Source organism: Homo sapiens, chromosome 1, assembly GCF_000001405.40.
Source record: "Homo sapiens chromosome 1, GRCh38.p14 Primary Assembly".
NCBI lineage: Eukaryota > Metazoa > Chordata > Mammalia > Primates > Hominidae > Homo > Homo sapiens.
The window spans coordinates 36,302,656-36,330,500 of NC_000001.11; the positions used below are offsets into that span (position 1 = coordinate 36,302,656).

At 52.8% G+C, this 27,845-nt stretch overlaps 3 protein-coding genes across 34 annotated transcripts in view, besides 11 other annotated features; 2 read left to right on the top strand and 1 right to left on the bottom strand.

Moving 5' to 3' along the window:
- The window catches only part of THRAP3 (thyroid hormone receptor associated protein 3), a 97,721-nt gene extending 95,019 nt beyond the window's left edge, over window positions 1-2,702 (top strand). For all 18 annotated transcript variants that reach the window (XM_047436227.1, XM_047436226.1, XM_047436246.1 and 15 more), the window contains one exon: window positions 1,141-2,702. In XM_047436227.1, coding sequence (XP_047292183.1) covers window positions 1,141-1,362 — 222 coding nt within the window. In that variant the 3' untranslated portion in view covers window positions 1,363-2,702. The remainder of the gene's footprint in view (window positions 1-1,140) is intronic.
- On the top strand, window positions 3,713-27,581 carry SH3D21 (SH3 domain containing 21). 13 transcript variants are annotated; one of them, XM_017002340.2, is made up of 18 exons: window positions 3,713-3,769; window positions 3,943-4,100; window positions 4,187-4,250; window positions 4,512-4,630; window positions 4,862-4,952; window positions 5,115-5,170; window positions 5,263-5,308; window positions 5,454-5,554; window positions 5,734-5,820; window positions 6,893-6,935; window positions 16,416-16,509; window positions 16,605-16,657; window positions 16,787-16,881; window positions 17,020-18,143; window positions 18,260-18,323; window positions 18,401-18,406; window positions 19,069-19,123; window positions 25,065-27,581. In XM_017002340.2, exons 1-18 carry the CDS (start codon window positions 3,766-3,768, stop codon window positions 25,223-25,225), a joined length of 2,421 nt encoding a protein of 806 aa, XP_016857829.1. In that variant the 5' UTR covers window positions 3,713-3,765; the 3' UTR covers window positions 25,226-27,581. The 13 variants fall into 13 exon arrangements, 12 of the variants coding, with proteins under 12 accessions (XP_016857829.1, XP_016857833.1, XP_016857830.1 ...); XM_017002344.2 differs by having other exon boundaries at window positions 17,020-18,132; XM_017002341.2 differs by lacking the exon at window positions 18,401-18,406.
- Window positions 3,754-3,803: a silencer, noted in NCBI's record as "silent region_660". NCBI's record gives its function as "represses an Ori minimal core promoter by ATAC-STARR-seq in GM12878 lymphoblastoid cells {active_cell/tissue: GM12878}" and the evidence as "EXISTENCE:reporter gene assay evidence [ECO:0000049][PMID:35858748]".
- Window positions 3,961-4,761: an enhancer, noted in NCBI's record as "H3K27ac-H3K4me1 hESC enhancer chr1:36772217-36773017 (GRCh37/hg19 assembly coordinates)". NCBI's record gives its function as "activates a minimal SCP1, AML or CMV promoter by ChIP-STARR-seq in naive and primed H9 embryonic stem cells {active_cell/tissue: H9 hESC(naive and primed)}" and the evidence as "EXISTENCE:reporter gene assay evidence [ECO:0000049][PMID:30033119]".
- Window positions 4,024-4,463: a silencer, noted in NCBI's record as "silent region_661". NCBI's record gives its function as "represses an Ori minimal core promoter by ATAC-STARR-seq in GM12878 lymphoblastoid cells {active_cell/tissue: GM12878}" and the evidence as "EXISTENCE:reporter gene assay evidence [ECO:0000049][PMID:35858748]".
- Window positions 4,564-4,613: an enhancer, noted in NCBI's record as "active region_750". NCBI's record gives its function as "activates an Ori minimal core promoter by ATAC-STARR-seq in GM12878 lymphoblastoid cells {active_cell/tissue: GM12878}" and the evidence as "EXISTENCE:reporter gene assay evidence [ECO:0000049][PMID:35858748]".
- Window positions 18,488-19,372: an enhancer, noted in NCBI's record as "H3K27ac-H3K4me1 hESC enhancer chr1:36786744-36787628 (GRCh37/hg19 assembly coordinates)". NCBI's record gives its function as "activates a minimal SCP1, AML or CMV promoter by ChIP-STARR-seq in primed H9 embryonic stem cells {active_cell/tissue: H9 hESC(primed)}" and the evidence as "EXISTENCE:reporter gene assay evidence [ECO:0000049][PMID:30033119]".
- On the bottom strand, window positions 19,375-21,499 carry EVA1B (eva-1 homolog B). 3 transcript variants are annotated; one of them, NM_018166.3, is made up of 3 exons: window positions 21,238-21,499; window positions 20,316-20,412; window positions 19,375-20,070 (listed from the first exon to the last, which is right to left on the bottom strand). In NM_018166.3, exons 2-3 carry the CDS (start codon window positions 20,380-20,382, stop codon window positions 19,640-19,642), a joined length of 498 nt encoding a protein of 165 aa, NP_060636.1. In that variant the 5' UTR covers window positions 20,383-20,412; window positions 21,238-21,499; the 3' UTR covers window positions 19,375-19,639. The 3 variants fall into 3 exon arrangements, 2 of the variants coding, with proteins under 2 accessions (NP_060636.1, NP_001291691.1); NM_001304762.2 differs by lacking the exon at window positions 21,238-21,499 and adding an exon at window positions 20,804-20,990; NR_130899.2 differs by lacking the exons at window positions 20,316-20,412; window positions 21,238-21,499 and adding an exon at window positions 20,804-20,990.
- Window positions 20,188-20,377: a silencer, noted in NCBI's record as "silent region_662". NCBI's record gives its function as "represses an Ori minimal core promoter by ATAC-STARR-seq in GM12878 lymphoblastoid cells {active_cell/tissue: GM12878}" and the evidence as "EXISTENCE:reporter gene assay evidence [ECO:0000049][PMID:35858748]".
- Window positions 20,188-21,257: a biological region, named in NCBI's record as "H3K27ac-H3K4me1 hESC enhancer GRCh37_chr1:36788515-36789399".
- Window positions 20,259-21,143: an enhancer, noted in NCBI's record as "H3K27ac-H3K4me1 hESC enhancer chr1:36788515-36789399 (GRCh37/hg19 assembly coordinates)". NCBI's record gives its function as "activates a minimal SCP1, AML or CMV promoter by ChIP-STARR-seq in naive H9 embryonic stem cells {active_cell/tissue: H9 hESC(naive)}" and the evidence as "EXISTENCE:reporter gene assay evidence [ECO:0000049][PMID:30033119]".
- Window positions 20,468-20,517: a silencer, noted in NCBI's record as "silent region_663". NCBI's record gives its function as "represses an Ori minimal core promoter by ATAC-STARR-seq in GM12878 lymphoblastoid cells {active_cell/tissue: GM12878}" and the evidence as "EXISTENCE:reporter gene assay evidence [ECO:0000049][PMID:35858748]".
- Window positions 20,578-20,937: a silencer, noted in NCBI's record as "silent region_664". NCBI's record gives its function as "represses an Ori minimal core promoter by ATAC-STARR-seq in GM12878 lymphoblastoid cells {active_cell/tissue: GM12878}" and the evidence as "EXISTENCE:reporter gene assay evidence [ECO:0000049][PMID:35858748]".
- Window positions 21,028-21,257: a silencer, noted in NCBI's record as "silent region_665". NCBI's record gives its function as "represses an Ori minimal core promoter by ATAC-STARR-seq in GM12878 lymphoblastoid cells {active_cell/tissue: GM12878}" and the evidence as "EXISTENCE:reporter gene assay evidence [ECO:0000049][PMID:35858748]".
- Window positions 27,582-27,845: the final 264 nt, after the last annotated feature.

Consider the following 27,845-nt stretch of genomic DNA (forward strand, 5'->3'; position numbering starts at 1 on the left):
CCAACAGCCTAAGACCCTAGCTTTTGTGGGGGGGTGGTTTAGACTCTGAAGTCATGGGGCTGATAAGGTAATGACTGCTGGTTTTCAAAATGCTTTCTCCTTCATTGTTTGATTGGATCCCTCCTTCTGTCTCATGAGATTGTCAGAGCAAGGATTGTTTGAAATGTAGGTTAATCCTTTCCTTGAACTAAGTGAAAAAGAAAAAATGAAATGTAGGTTAAGTGTTTTTCCTACCCCGTCACACTGCCTCCTTGCATAAAACAGGGGAGATACAAAATGAGAGTGTGGAGGTGGAGGATCAGGAAAGCCCCAGCCCCAACATTGGATTCTGAGCATTTGGAGTGCAGTGGTATGATCTTGGCTCACTGCAGCCTCTGCCTCCTGGATTCAAGCAGTTCTCCTGCGTCAGCTTCCTGAGTAGCTGGGACTACAGGCGCACACCCCCATGCCTGGCTAATTTTTTTTTTTTTTTTTTTTTTTGTATTTTAGTAGAGACGGGGTTTTCACCGTATAGCCCAGGCTGGTCTCGAAATTCTGAGCTCAGACAATCTGCCTGCCTCGGCCTCCCAAAGTGCTAGGATTACAGGCATGAGCCACTGCACCCAGCCGCATTGCCTCCTTTCTTAGCTGCCTAACAACCCAGTTCACATGGAGTTGCACGTTTTGGTGTGATTGGCTTTCTCAAACCCACCCTTTGAGAGAGGATATACTAAATCATATGGAGTTGCTTAAAGTTCCTAAGCTTTAAGCACGTTTGCAGAGTGGGAGGTGATAATGATAGGGTAGATAGGAGAATTAAATGAGATAGTACATAAATGTCTTACTTCAGTGCTCAGTGACGTTTTTATTTTCTTTAAACTATTAAGGGTTCTTGCTCAGTGAATCATCATCATTGTCAATCATCGTTACAATGCCCAAGCTGTTACCTTAAAATTCCTAAATCACCCAACTGATATTCTCATGGATCTGAACCACTGGCATTTTTGGAGTGGGGGACAGGGAGAAGTGCAGAAAAGGATCAAAAGGCTGGGTTAGGGCACAGGTTCTTTTGGGAAAGGCACATTTGGGTGCGTGCAGAGAAGAGAGCTCTGGCCACATCTTGTTCACTCTGGCACTGATGGCAATTTTCTTTCCCCTCAGCATGATGACCGTGAAGGCGAAGGCAGTGACAAGTGGGTGAGCCGGGGCCGGGGCCGAGGAGCCTTTCCTCGGGGTCGGGGCCGGTTCATGTTCCGGAAATCAAGTACCAGCCCCAAGTGGGCCCATGACAAGTTCAGTGGGGAGGAAGGGGAGATTGAAGACGACGAGAGTGGGACAGAGAACCGAGAAGAGAAGGACAATATACAGCCCACAACCGAGTAGGGGCCACCCTTGACGGGATTCCTGCCCAGGGGAGAGAGGCGCTGGGAAGATGGCTGGTGAGGAGCTTAACAGAGGAACCTCAAGAAGATTCTGAAAATCCTACCCCCACCCCCCACCAGCCGCACAGATTGTACTACCGCGAGAGGCATCCCTGGCGCTGTCTCCCACTGGACAGAGGAGGCTGGCCATGGGGCCCAGGGGTCAGGCCCAGCTTTTGAGCAGAATACAACGCATTGGGCTTTAGCTGTTTTTCTCATTTGTTGGTGTGTGGGGTGGGGGCAGGGGTAGGGCGGGAGAGCGATGCTTGGATTTTTGTTTCCTATTAGAAACCAACAGTTTTGTTCTAATTTCATTTCATTTGGAGCTAAGATGACTAATTTGATGATTTTCGATCTCTTTTCCCCTGTCCTGATTTTAAAAGCCCCCTCCTTTTTTTTTTTTTTTTTCTTTTTTTAGGCATATGTAGTAATATTAGAAACATTTAATTTGGGAAACTTTGATTCTTGAAAGAGAAAACAAAAGCATGTGAATAAACTTTGAAGTGTTCACCTCAGTTTGGGACCAAACTGCTTGGATCTTTGTAAAAACCGGTTTTGTATGTCAAGGAGGAGTTTAAGGCCTTTCCGACCACCTTGTGTTCCCCTTTTCTGCGCAGCCATGTATCACGTGGAGTTGCTCCTTACCACACCTCACGTGCCCCTGAGCCCTATTTCCTGATTTCTTCTGGGCTGGACTTCCCCGTTCTCCACCAGCAGCTCCAGTATCCCAAACTTTCTAGTCCTGCTGATCCTCCCAGCAACGGGGTGGAAACTGGAGGGCAGTGTCTGGTCTGTTTTCTAAGAAACTTATGAATTCTATTATCTTTACAAATATGAGAAAATTTTTTCAATATTTTTTATTAATCTTTTTATAAAATGAAAAGAAACTCCTATGATCGATTAAGGAAGGTGGTTATGGCTGGGTGGTTCAGGGGTTTTTTTGGGTTTCTTTTTTTTTTTCTTTGTCTTTTTAACCTTAAGCTGTTTAAGTTGAAGCATTCTCAGATGTTTGGGGGGAAACATCCTCTTAAAATGGGTCCTTGTGCTTGCCTTCTGGGGAGGCGGTCCTGAGCAGGTGAATCATAAGGCATTTATGCATATGTTATATGCGGACTGCACCCACCTCTCCCCCCCAGCCTTTGCCTCTTGCGTTGTTGTGCTGCTTTCCCCTTACTTTGCTACATTTCTATAGTTAAGTTGGTTTTACTTGAATGATTCATGTTTAGGGGGAAAATGAAAATCTCCCTTAAAATTTGTTTCAACTCCTCCTGCAAATAAAATAAATGAAGTGGCAGATGTAAACGGGTTCTGTTCATTGTCATCCTGAGTGTGTGTGTGTGTTGAGGGTGGTAGATAACTTCCCACGGCAGTTTCAGAAAACCTGAAAGACAAAGGGCCTGTGGGGCCTTGCGCAGGCTGCTGGAGTCCCAGACAGACACAGTCCTTCCTGGGAGGAGCATTGTGTACCTTGGACACCCCAGGAGAAACAGATTTTTTCCACTGGTGTCATAGGCAAGGACTTTGGCTTCCTTCATCATGGTGGTGGGGCAGGGATCAAGGGATGTGGTTAGTAGGCTCAGCCTTCTACCTGAAAGAGCCTATCCCACATGGACTGGCCATAGGGTGGGCCCTAACCTTCAGACTCCTGCCGGCTGGGGACTCAACTGTGAGCAGAAATCTTGGAAGCTGGTAAAATTCATTCTCCCGGCCTAACTCCCAGGGAAAACCTGGAGGTGTTTTCTGAAACCAAACTAGACCTCTGGCCCCAAAGCAGGGGTCTTTGCTGTGTCCTTCCTATATGGGGGTAGAGAGTGGGTACGGGGCCAGAGAGGAGTACGCCTTGAAGGAAAGCAGACTGGAAGTGTCCACTCAAAGCTATTGCTGGTACAAGGGCAGCCACTTCATTCACTCAAGGCCGGTTTAGAGCGGTTGCTACTTGCTGGGGGGCCCCACCCTGGTATGTGCCTCTCCCCACCTTTTCCCCTCAAGCCAAAAGCTTGTGAGCTGGGGAAGGGTGGGCCTGGAAAGGCTCTGTGCAAATTGTAGCTGGGAGCCTCCGGGCAAAAGCTGAGGGAAAGGGAGAGGCGGCTGGCCTAAAATTTAGGTGGGCGGAAGAACCTGTGACGGAGCTGTGACCGCTGCACAGGCCAGAGACCCTGGAGTCCTCCTCACCCCGGGGTTGGGGGCCGGACCTGCTGAGCCGGGCCGCCCCCTCTCCACACCCACTCCCAGCACCTGGCCCGACCTATCGGCTGGCGGCTACGCCTCCTTTACCCTACTGTCTTGCCTCAGGTCGCACCCTGCGCGGGCCCAGTACTCGGCCGTCAGAGGGAGCTGCCAGGCTCTGGAGGGCGCCCCGGAAACCATGGGTAAGTGCGGAGGCTTTGAGGTGGCCTCTCTCTGCAACCGTGGACATAGCAAGAGCCCACACCACCCCCCGACCCCCGCTGCCCTCTACGGTGCTTGGGGACACGCCCGCCCTAGCCAGGCTGCCCGGCTGGGCCTTTCTGAGCCGCACGCCGGCCCCGTCTTCCGCCCGCAGAAGTCCTCGTCCTGGCCGGATACCGCGCGCAGAAGGAGGACGAGCTGAGTCTGGCGCCCGGGGACGTGGTCCGGCAGGTGCGCTGGGTGCCCGCGCGGGGCTGGCTTCGCGGAGAGTTTGGGGGCCGCTATGGCCTCTTCCCCGAGCGCCTGGTGCAGGTGAGGCCGAGCCAGGGGCGGGCTGTGGGGTCTCAGCGCGCGCCCCCCGGGAGCTGAGAGCGCCTTCCCCGTGCCCTGATTCCCAGGAGATCCCAGAGACCCTGCGGGGCTCCGGAGAGGCGCGGAGGCCGCGCTGTGCGCGCCGCCGAGGTGAGCGCAAGGGCGGGGACGGGCGCCGGTGGGCGGGTGCACGGAGCCAGTGCGACCCCGGCGTCTCCGGCTCTTAGTGACGGGCGCGGCTCTGGGCGGGACCTCGGGGCCGCCCTGCGGTCTGTGATTGGTTCTCGAGTGCAATGCTCCGCCCTGGGGCGGGGCTGGAGGGACCAAAGGCTACGTGCGCGCCTTGCGCTTCCCCCAGCTCCTCTGACTGGGGCGTCCGACTGGAGCTCAGCCGCGCTTGTCCGGTGCTAGGTCATCCTGCCAAACACCCGAGGCCCCAAAGATGGTGCAAAGTGAACTTCAGCTACAGCCCAGAGCAGGCGGACGAGCTGAAGCTGCAAGCTGGGGAGATCGTGGAAATGATAAAGGAGGTGAGGGGTGAGGTGATGGGACCGTTTGGGGGAGGATGATGGAACGCGCCTCCCTAGTGAGCGGGGTGGGAAGTGAGGGTGTGGACGGTGGGAATGGCGACGGTGCAGATACGGGGAAGCGCGGGAGGGAAGGAGGGAGGAAGGGGCGCTTGGGCAGAACCAAGGGTGGCAGATTATCCTAGGGACTCTTGGGGCAGAACCAGACGCCTCTGCGTCCTCCCCTCTCCCCAGATTGAGGACGGCTGGTGGCTGGGGAAGAAGAACGGGCAGCTGGGAGCCTTCCCATCCAACTTTGTGGAATTGCTGGACAGTGGGCCCCCAAGTGAGACCTCGACTCTGTGACCCTGTGACTCGCAATCTCCAATGACCCTCCCAGTGGCATGAGCCTGTGATTCACATATCCTGACCCTGTGACCCCTCTGACCCTCTCCCATGACCTAACCTGTGAATTAGCACCCTCCCTAACCTCACTGTCCCCCACTAGGCCTTGGTAACCCAGACATGCCTTCAGTCAGCCCTGGTCCCCAGCGGCCTCCCAAGGTAAGTTGGCTCAGAGTAGGCACAGAGGTGGTGAGTTCCTCTTGGGGTGGTTGGAGGCTCATCTAGTTCCTCCCTGCCCCTTCCCCCACTAGCTGAGCAGCCTGGCCTATGACAGCCCTCCAGACTACCTGCAGACAGGTGAGCACCCATCCAAAGGGTCCCCCACTCCCTCAGCCACTCCCAAGGTTGTGACTTGGTGGGCCAGCTAGGCTGATGGAGGTGGGGGCTGCTGATGGATGGGGGAGGCTTGGCTTCAGAGGACAGTGGACTGACCTCTTCCCAGTCTCCCACCCTGAGGTCTACAGGGTCCTGTTTGACTACCAGCCTGAGGCCCCAGACGAGTTGGCGCTGCGGAGGGGGGACGTGGTAAAAGTACTCAGCAAGGTGTGAGACGAACAGGGTGGGGGGGCCCAGGGAAGCCGGTGTTGAGAAAGGGTAGACCTGCACATGTACCCCCTGAATCTAAAATAAACGTTGAAATTATATCCATAAGAAGGAGTGGGACCCCGGAAAGGACCTTGGGGGACCTGGCTCACCTCCCCACTGGCGTGTTTCTTTTCCAGACCACAGAGGATAAGGGCTGGTGGGAAGGAGAGTGTCAAGGACGAAGAGGAGTTTTTCCAGACAACTTTGTACTCCCACCACCCCCAGTGAGTACAGAGCCAAGACACTCAGGTGGCAGGGGCAGGCTATTTTGGACAAAGGTGGGGATCATGGGCACTCTCCGGACCTAGCTGGAGGGTCACTAAATGAGGGTGGACCTAGACATGTGGGGGCTCCTTTTGGATTCTAATACCGGTTGAGTATCGCTTATCCAAAAGGCTTGGGACCAGAAGTGTTTCGGATTTGGGAATTTTTGCATATACATGAGATAGCTGCCGGGTACGGTGGCTCACGCCTGTAATCCCAGCACTTTTGGGAGGCCGAGGCGGGTGGATCACAAAGTCAGGAGTTCAAGACTAGCCTGGCCAACATGGTGAAACCCCATCTTTACTAAAAATACAAAAATTAGCTGGGCGTGGTGGCATGCATGTGTAATCCCAGCTACTCAGGAGGCGGAGGTTGCAGTGAGCCGAGATTGTGCCATTGCACTCCAGCCTAGGCAACAAGAGCAAGACTCTATCTCAAAAAGAAAAAAAAAAAAAGATAGCTTGGGAATGGGACCCCAACCTAAACACGAAATTCATTTATGTTTCATATACACCTTAAGCCATAGCCTGAAGGTGATTTTGTGCAGTAGTTTTAATAATTTTGTGCATGAAACAAATTTTGACTGAGACCTGTCACATGAGTTAGGTCAGGTGTGGAATTTTCCACTTAAGGCGTTATGTTGGTACTCAGAAAGTTTCAGATTTTGGAGCATTTTAGATTTTTTTTTTTTTTTTCTTGAAGACAGAGTCTCGCTCTATTGCACAGACTAGAGTGCAGCGGCAGGATCGCCACTCACTGCAACCTCCCCCTCTCAGGTTCAAGCGACTCTCCTGCCTCAGCCTCCAGAGTAGCTGGGATTACACGTGCATGCCACCACATCCAGCTAATTTTTGTATTTTTAGTAGAGACGGGATTTTGCCATGTTGGCCAAGCTGGTCTCGAACTTCTGTCCTCAAGTGATCCACTCCCAAAGTGCTGGGATTATAGGTGTGAGCCACCACGCCTGGCCTGCATTTTGGATTTCTGATTTTTAGATTAAGGATGCTCAACCTTTACTTCTTTTCGGCATAGATCAAGAAGCTGGTCCCACGGAAAGTGGTATCTCGGGAATCAGGTGAGTGCCCGGGGAGCCTGGGATTGGGGGGTGTTCTCTGGGAGACCCACCAGTCCAGTTGCTTATAAACACCCACAGCACCCCAGTGGTCCAGTATGCCCCTATAGGAGCCCCCTCACCTGTGGGTCAAAAGCTGGGTAGGAATGTACGTGAATCAATGTGTGGGTCAGTTTGTGTGTGTGTTAATATGTCAGTGTTGCTCTGTGTGTCTTGAGAATGTGGCTATTGGTGGGTATAGATTTGTTTCATTTTGTAAGGAAACATATGAATATGTCTGTTCATATATAAGACTGTGTATGTTCATGTGTCTTATGTGTCAGTGAATAGCTCTCTGTGTGTCTGTGGGATGTCTTTTTATTTATCTTTTTTTATTTATTTTTTTGAGACGGAGTCTCACTCTGTCGCCCAGACTGGAGTGCAGTGGCTCAATCTCGGCTCACTGCAAGCTCCACCTCCTGGGTTCACACCATTCTTCTGCCTCAGCCTCCCAAGTAGCTGGGACTACAGGCGCCCGCCACCACGCTCAGCTAATTTTTTGTATTTTTAATAGAGACGGGGTTTCACCATGTTAGCCAGGATGGTCTCAATCTCCTGACCTCGTGATCCACCCGCCTCAGCCTCCCAAAGTGCTGGGACTACAAGCGTGAGCCACTGCGCCCAGCCTTATTTATCTTTTAATGTAATATTTGATACATGTCAAAAGTATATATAACACATATGTTATAAAATTTAACACCCACGGGCCAGGCACAGTGGTTCATGCCTGTAATCTCAGCACTTTGGGAGGCCAAGTCAAGTGGATCACCTGAGGTTAGGAGTTCAAGACCAGCCTGGCCAACATGGCAAAACCTTGTCTCTACTATAAAAATACAAAAATTAGCCAGGCGTGGTAGGCATGCCTGTAATCCCAGCTATTTGGGAGGCTGAGGCAGGAGAATCACTTGAACCAGGGAGGGGGAGGTTGCAGTGAGCTGAGATCATGCCACTGTATGCCAGCGTAGGTGAGAGTGAGACTCTGTCTCAAAAAAAAAAAAAAAATTAACACCCACGAACACCCATGGTATGTCACCTAAACCTAAGGACTAGAACATTGCCTGTTGTTTGTGTCCTCCTCCTCTTTCCTATTCTACCACTTCCCTCACCCCAAAGGTAACCACTGTCTTCAATTTTATGTTTATGGTTCCCCCAAGTTTTTAAGTTTTCTTACAAAAGTATGTGTCTAAACACTGTATCACTAAATTCATTTTTGTTTTTGAGCTTCATAAAAATGGTAGCATGTTTATAGTCTTCTGAGACTTGCTGTTTTTTTTGGTTTGTTTGTTTTTTTTTTTTTATGGAGACAGAGTCTCTCTCTGTTGCCCAGGCTGGAGTGCAGTGGCACAGTCTCCCCTCACTGCAACCTCTGCCTCCCAGGTTCAAGCGATTCTCCTGCCTCTGCCTCCCAAGTAGCTGGGACTACAGGCACCCACCACCATGCCCGGCTAATATTTTGTATTTTAGTAGAAACGGGGTTTCACTGTGTTGCCCAGGCTGGTCTTGAACTCCTGAGCTCAGGCAATCCGCTTGCCTTGGCCTCCCAAAGTGCTAGGATTACAAGCGTGAGCCACCGTGCCTGGCTGAGATTTGCTGTTTTTTGTTGTTATTGTTTGTTTGTTTGTTTGATTGTTTTTAGACGGAGTCTGCACTGTCGCCCAGGCTGGAATGCAGTGGCGCAATCTGGGCTCACTGCAAGCTCTGCCTCCCGGGTTCACGCCATTCTCCTGCCTCAGCCTCCCGAGTAGCTGGGACTACAGGCGCCTGCCATCACGCCCAGCTAATTTTTTGTATTTTTAGTAGAGATGGGGTTTCACCGTGTTAGCCAGGATGGTCTCAATCTCCTGACCTCACGATCCGCCCGCCTTGGCCTCCCAAAGTGCTGGGATTACAGGCATGAGCCATCGTGCCCGGCCTAAAACCTTTAAAATGTTGCTTTTTATATTAGTGCTTTTATTCATGTAGTAGTGATTTTAATGAGTGATACAATTATACCTTTTTCCCTATGGACAATGAGTTGTTCCAGCATCATTTATTATTTTCTACATGTGAGTTTTATACAATTTGGGGGGTTTCTTTTTTTTTTGAGAAAGGGTCATTGGGTCTTTGTTGCCCTGGTTAGAGTACAGTGGCAATTGTAGCTCATTGCAGCTTCAACCTCCTGGGCTTAAGCGATTCTTTCACCTCAGCCTCTCTTGTAGCTGGTACTACAGGTACAAGCCACCATGTGCAGCTAATCTTTTAATCTTTTTGTAGAGATGGGGTCTCACTGTGTTGCCCAGGCTGGTCTCGAACTCCTGGGCTCAAGCAATTCTCCTGTCTTGGCCTCCCAAAGTGCTGGGATTAGAGGTGTCAGCCACGGTGCCTGGCTTAGTTTTATACATAAAACTATAATTTTCTTTTTTTTTAAATTTTTTTTGAGACAGAGTCTTGCTTTGTCACTCAGGCTGGAGTGCAGTGGTGAGATCTCGGCTCACTGCAAGCTCCGCCTCCCGGGTTCATGCCATTCTGCTGCCTCAGCCTCCCGAGTTGCTGGGACTACAGACGCCCGCTACCACGCCCGGCTAATTTTTTGTATTTTTAGTAGAGACGGGTTTCACCATGTTAGCCAGGATGGTCTTGATCTCCTGACCTCATGATCCGTCCGCCTTGGCCTCCCAAAGTGCTGGGATTACAGGCGTGAGCCACCGCACACGGCCATAAGACCATAATTTTCATAAGATTTATTCCCAGATATTCTTAGGTATCTCAGAGTTTTTATTGTGTCTTTTAAAAAATAGACATTCTTCTGTTTATTGCAGGAATACAGAAATGCATTGATTTTTGTATATTGTTTTTATAGCCAGCCATGGTGCTAAACTCTGATTATTTCCAGCAATTCATTTGTAGGTTCTTACAAGTTTCCTGTGAAGACAGACATATCATTTGTGAATAATAATTTTTGTGTCATTCTCTTCACTCCTGCCTTTTAATTTCATTTTGTTAATTTATTGTAGTTATTAGGATCTCTCATACAATATTAAATAGAAGTAGTGATGGTGAACATCATTGTCATGTTCCTGATTTTGAATCTAGTTTTCCCTTTTCTTCTTTTTACTGTCTTTTGAGACAGAGTCGCATTCTGTCACCTAGGTTGGAGTGCAGTGGCGCGATCTCAGCTCACTGCAACCTCCATCTCCCGGGTTCAAGCAATTCTCCTGCTGCAGCCTCCCAAGTAGCTGGGACTACAGGTGTGCACCACCACATCCAGCTAAATTTTTTTGTATTTTTAGTAGAGACAGGGTTTCACCATGTTGGCCAGGCTGGTCTCGAACTCCTGACTTTGTGGTCTGCCCGGCTTGGCCTCCCAAAGTGCTGGGATTACAGATGTGAGCCACCACACCTGGCCTATCTGGTGGATCTTATATAAGATGGGAATGGGCCAGGCTTGGTGGCTTACGCCTGTAATCCCAGCACTTTGGGAGGCTGAGGCGGGTGGATCATGGGGTCAAGAGACGGAGACCATCTTGGCTAACACGGTGAAACCCCGTCTCTACTAAAAATACAAAAAATTAGCCAGGCATGGTGGCACATGCCTGTAGTCCCAGCTACTCGGGAAGCTGAGACAGGAGAATTGCTTGTTCACCCAGGAGGCAGAGGTTGCAGTGAGCCGAGATCGCGTCACTGCACTCCAGCCTGGGTGACAGAGTGAGACTCTGTCTCACAATAAATAAATAAATAAATAAATAAATAAGATGGGAATCATCTTTCCTTGCAAGCTGGTAAAACTTGTCTGTAAATTCATCTTGCCATATTTTTTTTCATTATGGGATTATTTTAAACAACTTCTTCAATTTCTTTAATAGTTAAAGAAAAGTCAGGGTAAAATTCTTGAATCAATTGTGGAGTTACGTGTTTTTAACTATTTTATGTAAGTTTTCTAATTATTTGCATAAAGTTGTTCATAGTATACTCTTTTATTTTGGAGAGACAGGGTCTTGCTGTGTTGCCTAGGCTGGAGTGTGGTGGCACAATGGGAGCTCACAGCAGCCTCAAACCTCAAGTGATCCTCCCACTTCAGCCTCCCGAGTAGCTAGGACTATAGGTGTGCACCACCACACCTGGCTAGTTTTTAAGTTTATTGTAAAGAAAAGGTCTTGCTATGTTGCCCAGGCTGATATTGAACTCCTGTGCTCAAGTGATCCTCCTGCCTTGGCCTCCCAAAATACTGGGATTACAGTTGTGAGGCACTTCACTCAGCTGTTTTTGTTATCTTTTTAATGACAACTGTCCTAGTGGGTATGAAGTGGTATCTCATTGTGGCTTTGATTTGCATTTCTCTGATGGCTAATGATGCTGAACATATTTTCTTTTTTTTTTTTTTTTTTTTGAGACGGAGTCTCGCTCTGTCACCCAGGCTGGAGTGCAGTGGTGCGATCTTGGCTCACTGCAAGCTCTGCCTCCCGGGTTCACGCCATTCTCCTGCCTCAGCCTCTCCGAGTAGCTGGGACTACAGGCGCCCGCCACCACACCCAGCTAATTTTTTGTATTTTTAGTAGAGACGGGGTTTCACTGTGTTAGCCAGGATGGTCTCGATCTCCTGACCTCGTGATTCACCCGCTTTGGCCTCCCAAAGTGCTGGGATTACAAGCGTGAGCCACCGCGCCCGGCCCGATGCTGAGCATATTTTCATGTGCTTATTTCTTTTGGAGAAATGTCTGTTTGGATCCTTTGCCCATTTAAAAAATTGGATTATTTGTCTTTTTACTATTGAGGAAGAGTTCTCTATATATTCTAGATAAAAGTCCCTAATCATATATATGCGTATATATATATATGGTTTGCAATATTTTCTCCCATTCTTTTTTTTTTTTTTTTAGTCTTGCTCTGTCACCCAGGCTGGAGTGCAGTGGCATGATCTCAGCTCACTGTAACCTCTGCCTCCTGGGTTCAAGCGATTTTCCTGCCTCAGCCTCCCAAGTAGCTAGGATGACAGGCGTGCGCCACCACACCCGGCTAATTTTTTGTATTTTTAGTAGAGATGGGGTTTTGCCATGTTTCCCAGGTGGTCTTGAACTCCTGACCTTGTGATCCACCCACCTCGGCCTCCCAAAGTTTTTCTCTCATTCTTTAGGTTGTCTTTTCACTTTCTTCGATGGTGTCCCTTGATGTACAAAAGTTTTAAATTTTGATGAAGTCCCATTTATCTATTTTTTTGGTTGGCTGTGCTTTTGAACCAATGTCAAATCCCAAGATTACACTCCAAATTGAGCTGCCTTCAACTTAGCCAGTTAAGCTGCTGATCCTCACAGTTTGCCCTACCCTGCAGAACATCCATGTGGACCAAGCTGAGGGGCCTGGGATGAAAACGGCCCTAGGCAAGAACATTATCAAGCATACAAAATGCTCTGCAAATTATCCCAGCACTTTGGGAGGCTGAGGCGGGCAGATTGCTTGAGGTCAGGAGTTTGAGAACAGCCTGACCAGCATGGCGAAACCCTGTCTCTACCAAAAAATACAAAAATTAGCAGGGCGTGGTGGCGGGCACCTGTCATCCCAACTATCTGGGAGGCTGAGGCACAAGAATCGCTTGAACCTGTGAGGTGGAGGTTGTAGTGAGCCAAGATCACGCCACTGCACTCCAGCCTAGGTGACAGAGCGAGACTCTGTCTCAAAAAAAAAAATCCTTCGCAAATTATCTCATGCCTTTGGATAATTTCCAGAGCATTGAAATGGTTGTTGGATTTTTCTTTTTCTTTTGCGGGGGGAAGGAGTCTCGCTCTGTCTCCCAGGCTGGAGTGTAATGGCATGATCTCAGCTCACTGCAACCCCTGCCTCCTGGGTTCAAGCGATTCTCCCGCCTTAGCCTTCTGAGTAGCTGGGATTACAGGCACCCAACATCATGCCCGGCTAATTTTTTTATTTTTGTAGAGAGGGGGTTTCACCATGTTGGCCAGGCTGGTCTCGAACTCCTGACCTCAGGTGATCCGCCCACCTCGGCCTCCCAAAGTGCTGGGATTACAGGCGTGAACCACTGCACCCGGCCTGTTGGATCATTTTTGTCCAGCTTCATAGTTGCCTTGTGAAGAGAGGATTTGTCCACCACCTCATTCAGCCAGAGCCAAATCCTGCTTCTGTCATTCCTCCCTCCTAACATTGCTGTCACGCTGTTCATTCCTTGTCTCACTGCACCTCTAGTTTACAAATTCTCTAGCCTTTTGGCTCTGTTTACTCTGCTCTGTAACCCTGTACCAGTAACATAAGCAATATACATGTAAATAAGTGGATTTATGTTGCATTTCTTTTTCAAGAATGCTATTTTTCATCTCTAGTAATTCCATTTTCTGTGTGATAATTTTCCAAACCTGCATGGTTATTCCTGATTGTCCTTTGTTGCATGCACATCCTGAACTTCTTCAAATGTTTTATACGTATCTATGCAGTGTTCTCTACCTGACAGTTCCACTATCTGTTGTGTGTTGTGTCTGCTGACTCCATTCTTGGTGACCTGCCCTCTAGCGTGTTTTATGACCTTTATTTATGAGCTGATAGCTGGATTTTAATCTGTGGGACTCTTGCAGGCCTTAGTAGAAGAAGACTTCTTCCAGCGAGAATTTGCTTTTATTTTTTGTTTTGTTTTGTTTTGTTTTGAGATGAAGTCTCGCTCTGTCGCCTAGGCTGGAGTGCAATGATGCGATCTCAGCTCACTGCAACCTCCTCCTTCCGGGTTCAAGCAATTCTCGTGCTTCAGCCTCCCCAGTAGCTGGGATTACAGGCACGCGCCACCACGCCTGGCTAATTTTTGTAGTTTTAGTAGAGATGAGGTTTCACCATGTTGGCCAGGCTGGTCTCGAACTCCTGACCTCAGGTGATCCACTTGCCTCGGTCTCCCAAAGTGTTGGGATTACAGGCGTGAGCCACCGCGCCTGGCCGAGAATTTGCTTTTACTTCTCCCAGTAGCCAGAGAACACCACCCACCAGAAGCTGCTTCGGTCCTCCTGAAGAAAGGTAGCACTGCTGTGTGGTACTGAGCTTGGGGCCTGTGGTGAGGTGAGGGAGCAGAGCCCAAGGCCCTGGCTTCACATCACAGGGCCCAGGCTCAGTAGCCACAGAGCAGAGCTGCCCTCCCTCCCTCCGCCTTTCTGGCTTCAGTTCTCTCTCTTTTTTTTTTTTTTTTTGGAGACTGAGTTTTGCTCTTGTTACCCAGGCTGGAGTGCAATGGCGTGATTTGGCTCACTGCAATCTCCGCCTCCCAGGTTCAAGTGATTCTCCTGCCTCAGCCCCCCACGTAGCTGGGACTGAAAGCACTGGGATTACAGGCGTGAGCCACTGGGAGTGCTGGGATTACAGGTGTGAGCCACTGCACCCAGTCCAGTCCTCTCTTTTGTAGACCTCCTTTACCTCTTTTAAGTCCAATGGTGCCTCAAAATTGTGTCCTCAGCAGGATATAATTGCTTCCTAGTGGGAGCACCCTACAGAGCACCTAATCAGCCATACTGTAAGAATGTAAGAAGTCAAAGTTAACATTTACTGAGCTTTGACCATCTGGCTGCCAAACAGTCTTCTAAGCACCTCGCATGTATTAAGTCACTCAGACCTCACAACCACCCTACAAGGTGTGTGTTAGTTGTCCATGTTTTATGAATGAGGACATTGAGGCATAGATCACTTAGCAAGTTCTCATACAACTAGCAAGGAGTGGAGCTGAAATTCAGAGCCTGGTGTCTGGCTGTGGGATCCATGCCCCCAACCACTGTCAGATTTGTGGATTTGTATACGTATCTGCGTGTGATTATATGTAGGAGTTAACATCAGCACTTGTGCACATGCCAGAGTGGCTGTTTTTCTATGGATCTGAATGTCACTGTGTGTAACTGCCTTCAAGTGATGCTGATGTCACCTTAGTGTGCCCTTCTCTGGCCACCCCATTTAAAATGGTTCCTTCCTCTGCCTAGTGTTTTTTTGTTTTGTTTTTTTGAGACGGAGTTTAACTCTTGTCGCCCAGGCTGGAGTCCAGTGGCGCGATCTTGGCTCACTGTAACCTCTGCCCTCCCAGGTTCAAGCGATTTTCCTGCCTCAGCCTCCGGAGTAGCTGGGATTACAGGCGCACGCCACCATGCCTGGCTAATTTTTGTATTTTTAGTAGAGACGGGGTTTCACCATGTTGACCAGGCTGGTCCTGAACTCCTGACCTCAAGTGATCTGCCTACCTTGGACTCTCAAAGTGCCGGGATTACAGGTGTGGGCCACCGCGCCTAGCCCCTTCTGCCTAGTCTTGTCAGTCACGCTTAATAACTCTCTAACACACTATGTATTTTACTCCTTGTATTTATATCTGCTTCCCCAATAGAACACAAGTTCAGTCTGGCTGCTGTGGGAAGAACACACTCTAGGTGGGATGGGTACAGCCAAATCCCAGGTTGGAGGCTGTTGGAATGTCCAGGTGAAGGTGGTGGTGACTTGATCTAGAGCACTTAGTGGTGGAGGTGGTGACAAGTGATTGACTTCAGGAAATATTTGGACAGTAGTGTGGACAGGATTTGCTGATGGTTTGGATGTGTCTCATAAGGAAATAAAAGGAGTCATTTGTCATCCAAACAAGTGGGTAAATGAGCCAGATGGGGACTGTGGGGAAAGGGGTAGGTTCAAGGGGCATGGGTTTGGGAAGCAAGAGATTGGTTTGGGATATGTTAAGAGTGTGATGCCCATCAGCTCTCCAAGTGTAAATATTGAGAGGGAAGTCAGATATGAGTCTGGAGTCAGAGAGGAAGGAGCTAGAGATGAAAATTTGGGAGTCATTGACTTATTGATGAAAATTAAACCCATAAGACTGGGTGAGATCTCTTAGAGAGTAAATGAGAGAGAATATAAAGAATTCTGAGAGTGGGCTGGGCGCGATGGCTCACACCTGTAATGCCAGCACTTTGGGAGGCCTGAGGCAGGCTGGGTCACTTGAGGTCAGGAGTTCGAGACCAGCCTGGCCAACATGGTGAAACCCCGTCTCTACTAAAAATACAAAAATTGGCCGGGCGCAGTGGCTCACACCTGTAATCCCAGCACTTTGGGAGGCCAAGGCAGGTGGATCACGAGATCAGGAGATGAGACCATCATGGCTAACACGGTGAAACCCCATCTCTACTAAAAATACAAAAAGAAATTAGCCGGGTGTGGTGGAGGGCACCTGTAGTCTCAGCTATTCGGGAGGCTGAGGCAGAAGAATGGCGTGAACCAGGGAGGCAGAGCTTGCAGTGAGCCGAGATCGCACCACTGGGCGACAGAAGCAAGACTCCATCTCAAATAATAATAATAATAATAATAATAATAATAATAATAATAATACAAAAATTAGCCGGGTGCAGTGGCGCATAGTCAAACAAGATTAACCTCCTGCCCATAGTCCCCTGCACACAGCACAAGACAGGGCTAGCGACTGTCAGATGGATGAGTGCTCCACTCCTCTCTTCCCAGCTCCTATTAAGGAACCAAAAAAGTTGATGCCCAAAACATCCCTCCCCACAGTCAAGAAGCTAGCAACAGCCACCACTGGGCCCAGCAAAGCCAAGTAAGGAGCAGGATGGGGTTGGGGGAAGGAGGAGGGTAGGAGGCAACGCCCCTCCCTGTGCCCCACCCTGAGGGCCTGATGAAGATATGTTCCAGGACATCTCGGACACCCAGCAGGGACAGTCAGAAGCTCACCTCCCGAGACTCAGGCAAGGGCTGCCTTCCTCCAGTGCGGGGAGGACTGGAGGACAGGGATGGGGTGGCTGTGCGGAGGGACAGAGGTGGGAAGAGACTGAGGGTCAGAGTAGGCTTGGGTCCCTGAGGTTCTGCTCTCTTAGGCCCCAATGGTGGCTTCCAAAGTGGGGGTTCGTATCACCCTGGCCGAAAGCGATCCAAAACCCAGACTCCCCAGCAACGCTCTGTGTCCAGTCAGGTGAGGGGCGGGAGACATGGGAGAGTGGGGATGCTGGGCAGAGGCTGGTTCCCAGCTGTGGTGTGCACGGGTGAAGTCTCCCAGGCCAAGGGGAACCAGACTCAACCTCAGCTGAGACTTCACCTCCCATCACGGCAGGAGGAAGAGCACAGCAGCCCGGTAAAGGCCCCCTCTGTGAAGAGAACCCCCATGCCGGACAAGACTGCCACCCCAGAGAGGCCCCCAGCTCCAGAGAACGCCCCCAGCTCCAAGAAGATCCCGGCTCCTGACAAAGTCCCCTCCCCAGAGAAGACCCTCACTCTAGGGGACAAGGCCTCTATCCCAGGGAACTCCACCTCGGGGAAGATCCCAGCTCCTGACAAAGTCCCCACCCCAGAGAAGATGGTGACTCCGGAGGACAAGGCTTCTATCCCAGAGAACTCCATCATCCCAGAGGAGACCCTGACTGTGGACAAACCCTCCACTCCAGAGAGGGTCTTTTCAGTGGAAGAGTCCCCTGCCCTAGAAGCCCCACCTATGGATAAAGTCCCTAATCCAAAGATGGCCCCTCTGGGGGATGAGGCCCCCACTCTAGAAAAGGTCTTGACCCCAGAGCTTTCTGAAGAAGAGGTGTCCACCAGAGATGACATTCAATTCCATCACTTCTCTTCGGAGGAAGCCCTGCAGAAGGTCAAGTACTTTGTAGCCAAAGAGGATCCATCATCCCAGGAGGAGGCCCACACGCCAGAGGCACCCCCACCCCAGCCTCCTTCCTCAGAGAGGTGCCTGGGAGAGATGAAATGTACCCTAGTTAGAGGGGACAGCTCCCCACGCCAGGCTGAGTTGAAGTCTGGGCCAGCATCCAGGCCTGCCCTTGAGAAGCCCCACCCCCACGAAGAGGCTACAACCCTTCCAGAGGAGGCACCTTCCAATGACGAGAGGACCCCTGAAGAGGAGGCGCCCCCCAACGAGCAGAGGCCTCTGAGAGAGGAGGTGCTCCCCAAAGAGGGAGTGGCTTCCAAAGAGGAGGTGACCCTGAAAGAGGAATTGCCCCCTAAAGAGGAAGTGGCTCCAAAAGAGGAGGTGCCCCCCATAGAAAGAGCCTTTGCCCAAAAAACACGTCCTATCAAGCCGCCTCCAGACTCCCAAGAGACGCTCGCGCTCCCCTCGCTGGTCCCGCAAAACTACACGGAAAACAAGAATGAAGGAGTTGATGTAACGTCGCTGAGGGGCGAGGTGGAGTCTCTAAGGAGGGCGCTGGAGCTGATGGAGGTGCAGCTGGAGTGAGTGGGCAGTGGCGGGGGTTGTGGAAGGTAGGGTTCCCCCTAGCCCTCACCTGCGCAGCCCCTCACCTCCAGCCCTCACCTGCCCAGCCCCTCACCTCCGCCTCGGCCCGCAGGAGGAAGCTGACCGACATCTGGGAGGAGCTGAAGAGCGAGAAGGAGCAGCGCCGGCGGCTGGAGGTGAGGCGCGGGTCCCGGCGGGAGGGGGCTGACGGCGAGTGGCCCCCTGACAAAGTCTCCACCTCACTCCCGACCAGGTCCAGGTGATGCAGGGGACCCAGAAGTCCCAGACCCCGCGCGTCATCCACACGCAGACGCAGACCTACTGAGGGTGGGCCTGGGAAGGGACCGCGGCCTGACCTGGCTGGGGCCACCCACGTCCTTGCACACGACTTTGGGAAACGCGAGAAAGTAAACTCTGCCTAGCACGGCGCCACGCCGGTCTGGTCGCTGGGGGCGGGGCCTGCGCGGGGGCAGGGCCTGGGCCTCCGCATTCCTGACGGTCCCTCCCAGGCACATCTGGCCAACATGTGGCTCCCATTACCGTTCCCAAGGCCTGCGCGCGGCTATTTTTATCCACCGGATGGTGAGGGGCGGGGGAGGGTGTCTCCTTCGGACTCCAGCCGCGCACTGGAGAAATGGCGGGCAGGAGGGGCCCAGGCGGGGTCGGGCTCTTGACGCCCGGCCTAGATTCCGGAATCCAGCTGTGCGCCGGGGAGGAGCCGGGCGGGCCTTCTCGCCAGCTCGGACCCCTCCCAGCTGGCCTCCCTGTCCGCTCAGAGGGACTCCTGCCCTCTCGCTTGAACGCACCTCGGCGCAGACGTGAAGTCCACCGTCCAGCCCAAGCACGCATGCTTACACCGGGGCTAGCAGCACCTTAGCCTCGAGGTCAGGGTCCTGAGGCCTGGTGTGTGTGTCATTGCAGTGTATGAACCCAGGGCACTGTGGGGACAGGGCGACGTGTGTCCAGGCGTTTGCCGGTAAGGAATGCGTTTTGAATAAGGAATGCGCGCGCGCTTGCTCTGTGTGTGAGGCTGGGTGCAGGCCTGTGGGCTTCTGCTTTTCTGCTGGCTGTGAAGTGAATGCGGGCAGGTGTGCTGTATCGTCGGGTTGGTGGGTGGGGGTGGTGCAGCTAGGGTAAGGGAGTCAAGCTGGGCCTCAGTCCTGGGGCCCCTGCGTGGCAGGAGCCTGGGGGTCGCTGGGGGCAGGAGTAACAGAGGGAGAGACTGAGTCACTGAGAATGCAGCTTTCTTTCATTTGGTCACTTCACCTCTTCATCGACCCCAGAGAGGGAGTGGGGACCCTGCATGCTGCCCCCTCCCCGCCCCCGGGGTCTTCTGGCAGGACTGGGGAAGGGAGCCTCTCAGGGGGTGGCGGTCCACGCCCAGTAGCACCTGGGAGCTGTGGGGGCCGAGGCAGTCCGAAGGTGTGGGGTAGCTCTGAGCTCATGTGCAGGTCCGGTACCCCGAGCGCCTTGCAGCGGGAGCCGGGGCCCATCAGTAATAGTGCATGCGGCCCAGGGTGCCCGTGGCCGTGGGGCTGGGCCCCAGCGTGCCTGTGCCCAGCAGGTCCGGCTGCCCGGTGCGCCAGATCTCCCGCAGGATCCGTTCGCGCTCCTCCAGCCGCTGCGCCCGCTCCAGCTCCTCCGCCGACGTGAAGACGTTGACGTTGAGGGGCCCGTCCGGCTCTGCGGACAGCTCGGGGCCCGGCAGCGTGTCGTCGGGGCCCAGCCGAGTCACCGTGTCCTCCTCGTCCTCGTCGTCGTCCTCGGGCTCCAGGGTGCTGCTGCGGGGGTCCCGGCGCTGAGCCGGGCCCCGGGGCCGCGGGCGGGGCGCCCACGAGATGCTGATGACGAGCAGGCAGAGGGTGAGCAGCAGGCCGAAGCAGACGCCCAGCACGAAGTAGAGGCCGAAGCTCTCGGGGTTGGCTGCGGGGCACAGGGCGGGGGTCACGGAGAGGCCCGGACGGGTGGGGGTTGTCCCACTTCCGAAAGACCCCAGGTTCTAGGTGTGGGGGCGAGGCCTGTAACCCCTACTCGAAGGGCATTAGGGAACCGCCAGCGGGCAAGAGGGCGGGGAGCGGGGCGGAGGGGACGGACAAGGCGCTGGGGAGGGAAGGGGATGGTGGTCAGGGAAGGGTTCAGGCCCCCAGTCTTCCGGCGCCCGCCCTCACCGCGGATGTGCGCGTAGGCAGCCAGGCTGTTGCTGAGCAACTCCATGTCCCTTCGCGGGGCATCCATGCTGCTCTGGGGGGCAGCTCCCCTACCAGCCTGCGAGGTCAGCAAAGTCAGATCCTTCTCCCAGCCTGGAGCCCACCCCGACCCCTTCCGCGGGCAGCTCCTCTCCCGGGAGCCGCGGGCCCAGGTTCCACCCTGGAGAGAGCGCTTCCCTAACTTCGTGGCGGCCCGGGGCCCTGTCGGGGGGAACCCCTCTCCCGGGCGCGGACGCCCCTCCAGTCCTGGGAGCAGCGCCGGGGACCGCGGGAGGCCCCGCCCCCTGGTGAGGTCCCCAGCTGAGGCCCGGTTCCGCCGTCCCGGGGCGGGATGGAGGATAGGGACGCTGAGCCTCCACGCCCCAGGCGGGCTCCGGGAAGGGAAGCTGCCTCTCTCCTCGCCCGGCCGCCCCGCGGGGACCCACCGGCCCGGGGCCAGGCCCACTCACCGTCAGCGCCCCGCTTCCCGGCTGCCCGGCCCCAGCGCGTCCCGCGGCCGCATACACTGGGTCCGGCCGCCCCCGCCCGCTCGGGTCCCGCCGCCCCTCCGGCCCCGCTGGGCTCCCAGGCCGCGGCAGCACGGGCGGGACACGGACCGAGGGACCAGCCGGCGGAAAGTTTCCTCCGAGGAAAGAGGAGGGACGGGGCGGGGCGGGGCGGGCGGGGAGGCGGGGAGGAAAAGGGCTGGGAGAGGAAGGGGAGAGGAGCGGGCAGCCGGGAGGAGGGAGAGCCCGGCCCGCGGGCCGTCCGTCCCCCACAGGAAACCGCCGGGGAGGCCGCGGCAGGGACCCGCCCCCAGGCCACTAACAGCAACAACAGAGAGGCTGGAGCTCTGCCTGCGTGCGGGCCAAGGGCTAAACCTTGGACAGGTTCTTTCACTTACTCCGCCTGACAACCCTGCGACGTGATACCATTATCCCCACTTCGCAGATCAAATAAACGGAGTCTTGGAGAGATTGAATTGACTTTACCAAAACCGTCAGGATTTGAATCTGCTGCTCTCTGATCCTAAAGCCTGAGCTAGAAACCACCGCTCCCCCTCCTAGGAGGCCCCTTCCAGGCAAAGCTGCTTCTCTTCCCCAGACCCATGCTGGACTGGAAGGGAGGGGACTGTCCACCCCTCCTTCCAGGGCCCAGGCTTGAATGTGTCCCCTGGCCGAGCTCTGGTCTAGTCACGCAGGGTTAATGATTGTTGGACTCCAGCTTTGAGCCAGGGCCCGGCCAGCAGTCTCGCAGACCCCAGCGTGGGGCCTCTGTGCCTGCGAGCTCCTGCGCTCTTGTGCACCAAGCAGCTTGTGGCGGCTTGTGGCAGATCCCACCCCATCCCGTCCCCCACCCCAAGGCTAAACCTGCCTGTGCTCACACACGCATTTCCCACCTGGGCTTGTGCATGCAATGTGGTGTGTGATCAGTGTGTGTGGCGGGGGGCTTCCTTCTGCCCTGTCTCCACGGGGCCCCCCCATCATGGACCTCCCCTCCCTTGCTGGAGCTAGAATGAGGGGGAGGCCGCCTTGGCGGGAGCCTTAGAGAGGAGGAGGAAAGGGGGAGAGGAAATTGCAGACATAGCTGAAGGCGCTGCCTGAGGCCTGTGGGCCAGCGACCCTCTCCCTGTCCGGGCTGCAGACCCCTACTCCCCCAGTCCCGAGACTGGGTTCAAGTAGAGGGCAGATCTAGATGGGGGAGGACTAGGACTGACTCCTATGGGGATGGAAAAGGGACTCCTGGGTGTCTTTGTGACTGTTTAGTGTGTTCTGTGAATGTGCGGGCAGGTATTTTTGCCCACATCTGTATATTTGTCTATTAATGTGATGTATTTGAGTATTGTTGTGGGGGCGGGTATGTCTGTATATAAATCTGTGCAGCCACTAGTCAACAAATACTGTGTATGCCTAGCACTTCCTAGTCTAGTCCACAGCATCTGTGGGTTTAACCAACTTTGCATCAAAAATATTCAAAACCAAAATTGCATCTGTGCTGAACATGTACAGACTTTTTTTCTTATCATTATTTCCTAAACAATAGATATATTTAATTTTTTTTCTTTGAGACAGGGTCTCACTCTGTCACCCAGGCTGGAGTACAGAGGTGCTATCTCAGCTCATTCACAACCTTTACCTCCTGGGCTCAAGTGAGCCTCCCATCTCATTCTCCCAAGTAGCTGGGAGGGACCACAGGCGTGCACCACCATGCCTGGCTAATTTTTGTAGAGATGGGGTTTTGCCATGTTGCCCAGGCTGGTCTTGAACTCCTGGGCTCAAGTGATCCACCCACCTCAGCCTCCCAAAGTGCTGGGATTACAAGTGTGAGCCATCATGCCGGCCAATAGTGTATTTTCATAGCGGTTACATTATATTAGATATTATAAGTAATCAAGAGATGATTTAAAGTATACAGGAGGATGTGTATAGGTTAAATGCAAATACTGAACCAATTTATTTTACATCAAGGACTTGAGGATCCTTGGATTTTGGTGTCTATGGGAGGGAGGTCATGGAGCCAATCCCCTGAGAATACTGAGGGACAGTTTTTTTTTTGTTGTTTGTTTTTGTTTTTGAGACGGAGTCTCGCTCTGTCACCCAGGCTGGAGTGCAGTGGCGCGATCTCGGCTCACTGCAAGCTCTGCCTCCCAGGTTCATGCCATTCTCCTGCCTCAGCTTCCCAAGTAGCTGGGACTACAGGCGCCTGCCACCACGCCTGGCTAATTTTTTGTATTTTTAGTAGAGACCGGGTTTCACCATGTTAGCCAGGATGGTCTCGATCTGCTGACCTCGTGATCCACCTGCCTTGACCTCCCAAAGTGCAGGGATTACGGGCGTGAGCCACCGCGCCCAGCCCTGAGGAATAGTTTTAATGGGGATTTAACAATAAACAGAACAGACACAAATCCTTGCCCTCATGGAGCTGACACTAAATTGGAGAAACAATAGAAGATAATCTCAGATGCTTCTAAGTGCTGGGGGGCATGACAGGATAGGGTAATGCGATGGACAACACCTGGGAGTGGCTCTCACAGGGACATCCACAGTGAGACCTGAATCCTAAGGAGGAGGCAGCTGTGCCAGGATCTGGGGAGAGTGTCTGGGCAGGAGTAAGAACATGCTTGGGATACCTCCCTCCAAGGGAAGAAAGCCACGCAGATGGTGTGTGGGTGCAGGGGAGAGTGGCAGGGGCTGCCCGTGCAGGGACTCGATGGCCTTGTTGATGAGCTTTTTCTTTCTTTCTTTCTTTTTTTTTTTTTTGAGACGGAGTTTCACTCTTGTTGCCCAGGCTGGAGTACAAAGGCGCGATCTCTGCTCACTGCAACCTCTGTCTCCCGGATTCGAGTGATTCTCCTGCCTCAGCCTCCCGAGTAGCTGGGATTACAGGCATGCACAACCACACCCTGCTAATTTTGTATTTTTAGTAGAGATGGGGTTTCTCCATGTTGGTCAGGCTGGTCTCGAACTTCTGACCTCAGGTGATCTGCCCACCTTGGCCTCCAAAGTGCTGGAATTACAGGTGTGAGCCACCGTGCCCGGCCAGGAGCTTGGTTTTTAATGTAAGTGTGGTGGGGAGCTCCTGGAGCGTTGAGCAGGGGAGTGTCATGGCCCTGTGACACATTTTGGAAAGATCCCTGTGGTGGCTCAGTGTAGGGTGGGCCACTGTGGGCAAGAAGGGGAGCAGGGAGGGTGGTGAGTAGGCTGGCAGCTGTCCAAGCCAGTGAGGGCGGGGCCGGTGGAGAGGCGAGAGGGCTCAGACTCAGGTGGTGTTCTGAAGGGAGTTCCTGCACTGGACTTGAATGTGAGGGAGAGAGGAGTTTAGAACACTTTCATACTGGGCTGGGGCACCTGAGGAAAGCCCATGTGGGGAAGCAGGTTTGGGGGTAGTCAGTTTCACTGTAGATAGGTTAGACTTGAAATGTCCATTAGATATCCAGGTGCAGGTGTTGGCAATGCAAGTAGAACCCCCAGGAATCTGGCTGAAAATGATATTTGAGAGTCCTTACCACATAAGATGGATTTACCACCCCAGAAGTGGATGAGACCGAACATCTGGGGTAAGGGGGCAGAGAGAGAAGGGTCTGAAGCTCGAGCCCATTGAGGGGTCTCCTGGAGGTGAAGTCAGCAAGGAGAACCAGGCCAGAACAGGGATGTGATCAGCCATGTGTGATTGGGCTGAGAGGTGAAGATGAGGCCAGAATTTGCCCACTGCCTTGGCCGAGATTTGAAGACCATCAGCAATATTGAGTTTCTGTGGGTTGTATTCCTGTTTCTTCAAGGGGTGTATGTCAGTGACTGTTTGCACAGGTAGCTTATTTATGTGCAGCATTGCTGGGAGTGCATGAGCATGTTTAATGCCTGCCATCCACGGGAATATCGGTGTGTGCTACAGTGTGCTTGTATGACTACGTGTGTTGTGTGCCTCAGTGCCTCAGTTCATGTGGCACAGACCTGTGTCTGTGAGAGTCCACATGTGTGCTCCTCTATGTGCAGTCTAAAATTTTGGATCTGTTTCTGTCAAGCTGTTTCCATGCACCTCTGTGCTACGCAGCTCTCTGTATCTCTGCCTGCAGGCAAAAGTATGTTTGTGTCTGGGTTGGTATGTGACATATGTGTTTGGAGTGGGTCAGGTATGACTCAGCCCTAGTGGAGCAGGATGAGGGTTGAGATGATGGTTGCTGGTTGCTTCAGAGAGAGGGACGCACATTAACCAGAGTGCTGTCTTCTCCAGGGGCTTGCCGTGGCCAAGCCAGGCCAGGTGGGAGAAGCGGCAGCCTTGCCCTGGAGGGTTTTGAGAAGCACTGCTCCTGGAGGCCCTGGGGAAGGTCCCTGAAACCTTTGGCCAATGTGGCTGTCCCCATGGTCCACATGCCCTCCCCACCCCCTGCCTAGCTGCTTGACTGCCTGCTGCTCCCCAGCCCACCAGCCTGTCCGTGGGTCAGCCCAGCCACCCGCTTCGGATCTCTGCACGTGTGTCACCTGCTGTTCTGGCCCTCATCCCAACTATCCACCTGCCCATCTCCTCCCTACCTCCTCGCTGCCTATCTGCCCAGGACTTATCTGCTGTCTGCTCACCTGCCTGCTTGTTGACTGCTTCTCTGCCCTCCTATCTGCCTGTGAGACTAGAGATTTGTCACCTTGGAAAGCACGGAGAGTACTGCTAAGATGAAACACAGGAAGGACAGGCCTTGATGGAAGGTTGGGGGGCCGAGAGATCCAGAGCCTATGGGAGGGGACTTGTGAGTGCTGGCATATTCAGGACCCAGTGCAAACCCAAGCACAGCTCTGCTCCCGGCCCCAGTGGCCAAACTGAAGGCTTGCCCTGGCTATTCTGCCGTTGACATGGGCCTCACCCTACCACGGGGATAGGTCTTGGATGGAGGGAAGAGGGAGACTCACCGGGGGCCTCCTGAGTCCTTTGAGTGTCCCCATGACCCCAGCACCTGGGACAGCTGCTGGAAAGAGGGTACTGGCAAAAATTTGCTAAATGGACAATCATAGGCCCAGTGTGGTGGCTCACGTCTGTAATCCCAGCACTTTGGGAGGCCGAGGTGTGCAGATCACTGAAGTCCAGGAGTTTGAGACCAGCCTGGGCAACATGGCGAAACCCCATTTCTACAGAAAACTACAAAAATTAGCTGGACACGGTAGCACACACCTATAGTTCCTGCTACTCAGGAGGCTAAGGTGGGAGGATCGCTTGAGCCCAGGAGATCAAGGCTATGGTGAGCCGTGATCGTGCCACTGTACTCCAGCCTGGATGACAGAGGAAGACCCTGTCTCAAAACAAACAAAACAACAGCAACAACAAGAAAACAATAATAGGGACATTGAGTACCCTTTCTGGCACCTGGCACTCTGCCAAATGCTATGCACACTCCGCCCTTCAGTCTTCCCAGGAACCCTGTGCAGTTTGTAGCGTGGCTCACATTTGCCAAGAAGGAAGTGAGGCTCAGCGAGGTTAAGCAGTGCCTGTGGAGTCACATGGCTGCAAGTAGTGGCCTGGACTGGACTGCAGAGCCCATGCTCCCCACCGCTTTCCATGGGGCAACTCTAGGCCATCATTCTCCACCCCTCAGACCCAAAGCTGCCTTTTCATAATGCTTGCTGTTGCTCCCTTTATGCTCCTGAAATGAAATTTATGGCTAATATGCCAGCCTTTACATCTAATTAAAAATCATCCAATGGTTTTTTTGTCCTTATTAATATATAAGAAATAAAAGGTAATGATAATGTGTTTGTGAAGTGCCCAGTTGCTGGGGAGGTCACAGCTCTGTGTACAGACTGATGCTCGGGTGTGGTGGTGTCAACGTCTGAAACGATGAATTTGGTAAAGTTCTGAACACAATGAAGTGCACGTTTCCTTCTCTTTACACAGTAGTTGCATTCCTGGAAAATTCAATGTATAGTAGAATGCATACACTCTTTGTGTTTATATGCAAAATGGAGTTAGAGCCTTGGCTCTGGTAATGAAAAACAAGCCTTTCACTTATGTTGTGCAGGATGTAGAATCTGCCTTCCTTCCAGGGCTGTCTGGAGTCCCTGGCGCCACCCTTGTAACTGCCAGTCATTGTGATGACCAGTCCCCTCATCCCTTCCCCCACAGTGGCCACAACAGGAAAGATTCCCGCCCTTATTCATGGAGCTCAGCGTTTGAACAGGGGAGACGGGCATGATCAATAATTGGATATATGTCAGGTTGTGATGAACACAATGAAAAAAAAAATGAGTAAGGGGTTAGAGAAGTCCAGGTGGACAGGTGAGGGAAGGCCTCTCTGAGGAGGTGGTATTCTGAGCAGACACCTGAATGAGGCAGGGAGTCATGGAAATACCTGGGAGAAGAGCCTTCGAGAAAGAATAACCAGTGCAGAGTGTTAGGGTCACCCCGACCAGTTCCCCTCCTTTCGCATAGGTCTTACAATACAGTCCTTTGTGACCTCCGCACAGCTCCCCCAGGGCTAAAGGCAACCCCCACTGCCGCCCTGCACTGACCCTTCCAGTAACTGTTTGTCCAGAAGACTTCAGCTGAACTGGCAAACAGTTCCAGGATGCGGTCAGAACACCTGCTAACCAAAGCTGGCAAAAACATCACCAGGATGCAGTCAAGACACCTGCACCCCCAACTCGGTTCACACACCCCGACCCAGTTCCTCGCCCTGTAAAGCCCTGCTGCAGTCTGTAAGCAAGGCTGCCTCCTCTGCCTGTCAAGGAACAGCCTGGCAGGACAAATAAAAATTGCTTGCCTGTCTTTGGGTCTACTCGTCGTTTCTCTTGGCTAACCTTTTATTTTGGTGCCAAAACCCAGGAAGGTGGTAGAGTTCGGCCTCCCTTTCTCTCTCTTTCCTAACCACCACCCCCACTTCCCTTGGCTGAACTCCCCCTTCCCAAACCTGCCAAAGACCCAGAGGACTTCTGGGACCCTCCCATTGTTGGTGACTTCATCCATCACTATAGTCTGCAAAGGGGTGAGTAAGAGAGACCCTTGCCATCTACCCGGGACCCTTGACCGTCT